Raw genomic sequence first — 7630 nt, 5'->3', positions numbered from 1 at the left:
AGGTGGCAGTGAAGGGTGCGTGCCCTTCCACGACCTTCATGAGCAGCGTGATCCACTGCAGGGAGCTGAGGGCGCCGCACACCTGCAGCGTGAGAGCGATGCTCTGCACAAACCCCAGCGTGCACCAGCTCCGGTGTTGCTCCCTGTACACCAGCCTGTTTGGAGAAGCTGCAGGAGGGAAAATAGACATGCTTGGTAACAAGTCCCTAAAGACAAATCCCTAAAGATATATCCTTATTTTTTTATCAACTTATTTTCTACAATAAGCTCCTTTAAAATATATTGCAGTTTGTAAATTAATTCAAACTAATTCAAAGTGAGAAGTGGAAGGCGGCTTTTAAGTTAGTTCAAGAAACATTTCCGAAGTTTTCTTTTTTTTTTGTTTTTTTTAGAGATGGGCCCTCACTGTGTTTCCCAGGCTGGTCTAAAACTCCTGGGCTCAAGTGATTCTCCTGCCTTGCCCTGCCGAATAGCTGGGACTACAGGCATTTTTAAAACCTTCTAAATATGTGTCGTAAAAGTAGTTAGGGAATTTTAGCTATGTATTGTTTCTAGGCAATAGGAAAATGATCTATAATTCAAATAGTAATTTGCAACAGTGCATCTATTATATTTTTAATTTCGTGTTTTAAATATCTCCACAATCTTGCTTATATTTAATCTGCACCACTTAAATACTCTTTTTGTAATTTTAGTAGAGACAGTTTCCAATCCAAGTTTAATGCATCTGCATTAACAAAATGAGTTTTTCACTAGGTTTACACCACTGGATTCTAGCACCAGTGGGCCCACCTCTGCTCCGCCTGGCTCCAGGACTCCACTACTCCCTGAATGGAGGCTGAGGCTTGGAGGCTGGGCCCCCTGAGGGACCCCGCCCACAGCCCCACAGGACCTGCTCTCCCTCCCACCTCCCCCACCCTGCCCTCAGCTATCCAAGCTTATGAGGACACCTGCCTTCCTTCAGCACACTCACATGCGCTCACACACACACACACTCACTCTCACACCCTCATATGCATCCTCACACTCACACTGATACTAAGTTATTCAGACACACTCATGGGCACTCATACACCCACCCTCACACTTTCAGGTGCACTCACACCACTGTCGCAATCACTAACACACACACAATCCCAGTCACACGTATGCACAAACAGATGCAAGCTGACACACACTCCCATGCACTCTCACATACACTTACCCCTCCCAATGCATACAAAAACTCACATATGCACTCACACTCCTCAACACTAGTAACGACCGATTACTCACCCACTCACACCTTTACCCACACACTTTCTCACTTTACACTCACACCTATACTGTTATAACCTCCCATTCACTGACACAAGCAAAATGCTCACATTCACTCACACGCATTCACAATAACATCACTCGTGCTCACACTGACACAAGGCACTCATACACATTTACACAAATGCTCGCACTCAATCGCACACTTACACTTGTGCCTGCCACCCACTCATACTTCCTCACACTCACCAACCCTCACTGACTTACACTTACACTGGGTGTCTCATTCGCACACCCAGTAATCCCCTCACACTCACACTCATGCCTCCCTCGTGCTCACCCTCACACACACACTGGCTCAATGCACTGACGCTTTCACTCCCACTTCACCTGAATGTAGTCACCTGCCCACTCACATGCTCTCATGGACACACACCCACACAACCACATGCTACAAACACACCATCACACTTGCAACACAAACGCTCAGCCACTTGCCCATCGACCACTAACACACTCACTCTCATCAATATGTGCGGACGCTCCAGCACACCACTAATACACGCATGCTCTCACACACACACTGGAGGACGCCCACATACCCACCCACACTCACATGTGCTCACTCGCAGTCACATGCACACTCACCCCACTCCCTCAGCTCACATTTCTCATACTTACTCTCCACACACACAAACACTTTATGGATTAAACTGTGCCTGTCCTCCAACTTCACATACATTCGGAACCTCAGAATATGATCTTATTTAATGAGGTCTCTGTAGACGTCATTAAGGTAAGAATTTAGGTGACATCATGTTGGATTAGAGTCAAAGAAACTCAATGAAAGAGTCCTTTCAGAGACAGAAAAGGACATGCAGAACACAGGGGCAGGGGCCATGTGAAGACGCAGGCAGAGACTGGCACAATGCGTCCCAACACCAAGGAAGCCTGGAGCTCCCAGAAGCTGGACAAAGTAAGGAAGGACCTTCCCCTAGAGCCTGTGGAAGAAGCATGGCCCTGCCCGCACCTGGATTTGGGACTTCTGGTCTCCAGAACTCTGAGAGAACAAATTTGTTGTTTGAAGCCAGTGTTACGGGTTGAATTCAGAATTGCAAAATTCGTATGTTGAAGCCCTAACCCCTATCGTACCTCGGCAGGTGACCTTGTTTGGAAATAGGGTCGCTGCAGATGTAATCAGTTTGATGAGGTTGAATGATGTCCTCATGAAAAGGGGAGATTTGGAGGCGACTCACACACAGGGAGAATGCCATGTGAAGATGACGGCAGAGATAGGGGTGACACCTCTACAAGCCGAGGAACGCTAAAGAGACCAGTAAACTCCAGAAGCTGGGGCAGAGCCCTGAAGCAGCTTCTCCCTCACAGCCCCAGAAGGAACTACCCTTGATCTCAGCCTTCCAGCCACCAGAACCGTGAGAATTTCTACTGTGTAAGTCCCCAAGTTTGTATACTTTGTTACAGCAGCCACAGGAAAGGAATCCACACACATCCACACCCACCCACATGCACACCCAGACACGACAAGCGTGCGGCCCCCAGCGCTGACTCCCTGGGCCCTCGATCTCTCATTCCATACATGTCTTGTCCGTCATTCCGCTTTCCACTAACATTTGCAGCAGTCCGCATAAAGTCTTGGTGGCTTCACTCTGCATGATCTCAGCATGAACTCCAGCAGACAGACAAAGAGTCTGCAGTAAGTTAATAGTGCTGGTAAACATCATTGCAGTGGGGTGAATGTTCCTTTCAGTTTGTTCGGCTTCTAAAAAAAATAATCAAAATTACAAATTATATTGGCAGCCCCAGCCTCTTGGATGGTCTTACCAAGCCCAACCATGTGAAGCTTCACGTGTTTTAGGAACAGCTAAGAAATGTCACGAAACCTCCTCCCACAACCTGGATCTCCACAGATAGGATCTAGCTTTCTTGGTCCACCCCTAAATTCTCACCTCTGCTTCCCTAGAAGCGATAAAGTGCTGACTAACTCCACATTACATGAAGAGTTCAGAGTCAGGGACCACAGAGGAAAGGTAAAGGCAGGTGGCAGGTGGGGTGTGCTTGGGCAGGGGCTCTCACTGGAGGAGGACGCGATGGACCGAGACCGCAGGGCAATTCCACCAGGCCTCGGCTCACTCGCTCAGATGCAGGCTCAGCACCAACCACATGAGACTCACTGGTGATGCAGCTGCCCCCACCTGGCCACCACATTCTCAAAGAGGGGCGGGTGCACACATGAGAGGAAAATGCAGAAAGTCAGTTCCAGCCAGATCGCCGGATCCCACAGTCACTCCACACACCTGCATCGGAGGTGCCTGGGAGCTTATTTAAATTACAGGTTCCGAGGACAGAGCGCCAGCTGCAGGTGTGTCCTGACATCCCATTCTAAGGCCCAGATGGCAGTGGCAGCACCCAGCAACTGGACAGTTTGTAGGCTGCCTTGGACTAAACACCTTCCTGAGTCACCCACCAGAGTCGTCCTCTGTGTCCGAATCCTCTGCTGAGGGCTGTGCAGGGGCTGGCAGCTCTGCCAGCTTGAGGTCGTATTTTCCTTCTTTCCCCATCCTGTAGGAGTTGGTGCTGCCTGTGTCCCACTGGACTCTTATCCACCCGTCCTCTCCCAGCTCACCAATCACTCGGCCTAGGCCTGGAGGAGGCCCATCCTGAGAAAGCCAAAGTAGAGATCAGTTAGGAGGGTGCGTAACCTGCCCTGGTCCTTCCATGGCTCCCAGCAGACCTCAGTTAGGAGGGTGTGTGCCCTGCCCTGGTCCTTCCATGGCTCCCAGCAGACCTCAGTTAGGAGGGTGCATGCCCTGCCCTGGTCCTTCCATGGCTCCCAGCAGACCTCAGTTAGGAGGGTGTGTGCCCTGCCCTGGTCCTTCCATAGCTCCCACCAGACCTCAGTTAGGAGGGTGCGTGCCCTGCCCTGGTCCTTCCATGGCTCCCAGCAGACCTCAGTTAGGAGGGTGCCTGCCCTGCCCTGGTCCTTCCATGGCTCCCACCAGACCTCAGTTAGGAGGGTGCGTGCCCTGCCCTGGTCCTTCCATGGCTCCCACCAGACCTCAGTTAGGAGGGTGCGTGCCCTGCCCTGGTCCTTCCATGGCTCCCACCAGACCTGCCACACAGATGTCGCCATATGCCACCCTGTCTGTCAGGGGCTGTCCCCAGACACAGATTTCACCTCTCCTACAAAATGTGTGCTTGCATCATTTTAAATTAAATGGCATAAAATAACGTGCTCATGCTGCTTTACCAAGGAAGTCGGGGAAATCTCATCTCAATGAGGATCCTCTGAGTCAATGCAGAGACAGGGCTTTGCAGCAAGTCCTGTCCCCACAATCCCTCACGGGCCTTGCAAGAGCGGAAACCTGAAACAAGCACCAGCACCTCCACATTCCCTTTGCTTCAGTTTCCCCTGGGCCCCAGGGGGAAGCTCTGTCTCTCACTTCTGCAGGAGAAAGCTGTTTCTAGGATGGATGCTGTCTCCAGACACTGCTATTTCTAAGATGACTGTGACAAAGCCAGGGCTTACCAGCGTGGCTGAGAAAAGCCAGACAGACCATGGGAAGGTGAACACTGCCCTAACTTAGCTAGGGCTGTGGTAAGTGACTTCCACCTGGGGGCACCTGGCAGAGATTTAGAAGAGACCTGCGATGAGGGAAGATGGAAACGTGGCCACAGGCCCATGAAGTAGATCCCTAACTACTGGCTTCAGGGCACTTCGCAGCACATGGCCATCAGCCCACAGGGGCAGCATCTGGGCTTCCTGCCTCAGAGCCTTCACTACACCAACTTTCAGAATGAGATTTACTCTCTTGCTCACTCTCACACTCTTGTTCCAGTGACCCATCAAACTGAGCCTCATGCCAGTGAGTTTCCTGAAAAGAGCTGCCTCTCTTTCCAGACTTGATTCTGCTCAGATGCCCTACTTATGATTCCCTGTTTGTGTTCACTCCCTTCAGCTGCTCGGGAACCAACACCTGTGTCATCGATCAACTGACACATCCTGGATTATTCCAATTTCCACCCACCAATATCGTACAGAACTATGCAGAAGATAACTAATGTGTGGCTAATGTGTTCACATCAAATCTCTGAGTACCTGATCGCCCCATTTCCAGTCCACACCTCTCATGACCCTTGTTCCAATCTTCATCATGGCAGCCAGTTCTGGCCCTGAAACAGGGAGCTGCACAGGAGCCGTTTCCTTCCTTGTTTCTTCCAAAACTGTGGCAGAAGCACCTTGAGCAGAAGCATTCATATCTTCCTCAACGTTGTCACAACTGGGGCCTGACGGAGCGTCAAAAACAATAGCTGAGCCAACAAGTAGCTACAGTGTCCCCTTAATACACACAAAACATTCACAAAGTACTAATGAAGATCGTAATTTTGAACAATCCATACTATATGTTTTATCAATATAATATTATGAATATTTTACTGATATAGGATAAAAAGAAGATAAACGGAAGGATGAAATACATAAATATCCTAGGAAGATATAAAAGATATTAAAATGCTCAGTAAAGCTACTTTCTCTACTTCTAGGAATTACTCCCCTGAAAAAAGCAAAATAACTGAGTTAGAAAGATCCTCATCACATTTTTTATTAATAGAAAAACAAAGATAACTACCTAAATATCTAACAGTGGGAAACTAACAAACTTTAATCATGGTTCTGTGCAGAAGACAGCTAACAGCTGGCCCGAGATACAACCTCAGACAGGGTTGCTGCAGGCTGGCCCTCAGCTGGAGTCTGGATCTCAGGAGGGCTCCCCCATTCCCTAGGTGGTAGGTGTGGTTCCCTGTGCCTGAACTGTCTGTACAAACAATGGGGTCTGTGCTGAAACCTGCTTTCCTTAGTCTGGAACTTGGTACACGCCAGGCAGGGGGTGCCCGTGTGATCAGTCCTGATGGAAACCGTGGGCCTGGAGTCTCTACCCAGCTTCCCGGCAGACAGCACTTGACACGGCTCGGTGCCAGGGCAGTTAAGCTCGTCCTGTGTGGATCCTGTGGAAGCTTGTACCTGCTTTCCTCTGGACTTTACCCATGTCCTTTTTCATGATTTTGCTCTGTGTCCCTTCACTGTAATAAACTATAGCCCTGAGTACAACTACATGCTGAGTCTTGTGAGTCCTCCTGGCCAACCATCAAACCTGGGGGTGGTCTCGGAGACCCCTGACAATTGGTGCCCTGGGTGGCTACAGAGTCATCCATAGCACAAAACAGAAGCCGAGCTGCTGTCACCTGAGAGAAGTAAAACTTCCCAATGGATCTGAAAATAGGAGCGCTAACCCTAGGAGAGTAGGCTAGATTTTTAACCCCCCTTTTCCCACTTGCTAAACTGAGAGGGGGTAGGAGTGTGGTTCTGGTAACTCCCTTGATTTTAGTTTTCTCCTCCAGGTGGGAGGGAAAAAGATCCAAACAGTCCCAAAGGTGGGCTGGGGTGGACCAAAAAATGTAAAAAGTTTGTGTTTCTCTCTCTTCCAAGAGAACAAAAAAGGATATTCAATTCCCAGGGCTGGAGCAAAACTTTAGATAAACTAGCAGCAGAAACAGCCTTTCCTTTAGCCTAGCCGCTACTTTAGGGCCCCCAGGAAGGAGCCCCAAGGAAGGGACAGGAGTTGCATTCCAGGTGGATCTCCCAGGATCCCCTGGGCAGCTATACTGTTAACTCTGTAAAGACTGAATTTATTGCTAAGGGCTTGAATAAATTTGCAACCAAAACCGGGGGGAATTTTTTTATTTTACATAGCTTTATGTTTTGTGGCTGTTACATGTGGATGTATACATTAAGCTGGTATAAAATATTATATGTTTATAATTTCTTAAATGATAAGAAGGATACCCTGATCAGGGCAAGCTGCAAATATAGACGGATATTCATGAGACACAACTTCCTTGCTTTTTGCAGCCAGTGGGCCAGATGAAATTTAAACACATGAATATTATCAACAGAACAAGTCCCCATACTTAATGATTTGTGCTGTGATTTTTACTTATGGGAACCTCTGGGGGAAAAGTAGACAACATAAAAAGGCCATTTCTCGATGGAGATATGCTTTTGTAATTTTTAAATGCAACTTTTGGTTGCTAATGAGGCCTCAGGAAATCAGATATAACCCTTACTAGATAATTCTTTTCAGCTGTAATACACATATTAAAATATATATTTAACATAATACAACATATAAACATAATATATAAATTAAAAAATAATTATATATATATATATAGAGAGAGAGAGAGAGACAGACAGACAGACAGATAGATAGAAAGATTCCACCCACCCCCAAGACAGGATTTCACTCTGTCACCCAGGCTGGAGCCCAGGCTGGAGTGCAGTGGCTTGATCTCC

At 48.2% G+C, this 7630-nt stretch overlaps 1 protein-coding gene across 1 annotated transcript in view; it reads right to left on the bottom strand.

Annotated features, from left to right (window-relative positions):
• Nucleotides 1-3739: 3739 nt before the first annotated feature.
• The window catches only part of LOC124903450 (putative HERC2-like protein 3), a 38644-nt gene continuing 34753 nt past the window's right edge, over nt 3740-7630 (bottom strand). The window contains exons 16-17 of the mRNA XM_047433403.1: nt 5401-5562; nt 3740-3935 (exon numbers count right to left, since the gene is read on the bottom strand). Of these exons, the coding sequence (XP_047289359.1) occupies nt 3898-3935; nt 5401-5562 (200 nt within the window). The 3' untranslated portion in view covers nt 3740-3897. The remainder of the gene's footprint in view (nt 3936-5400; nt 5563-7630) is intronic.

Source organism: Homo sapiens, chromosome 15 (assembly GCF_000001405.40).
Source record: "Homo sapiens chromosome 15, GRCh38.p14 Primary Assembly".
Classification (NCBI taxonomy): domain Eukaryota; kingdom Metazoa; phylum Chordata; class Mammalia; order Primates; family Hominidae; genus Homo; species Homo sapiens.
The sequence above is the reverse complement of the archived record's forward strand: the minus strand, read 5'-3'. Positions and strand labels throughout refer to the sequence as shown.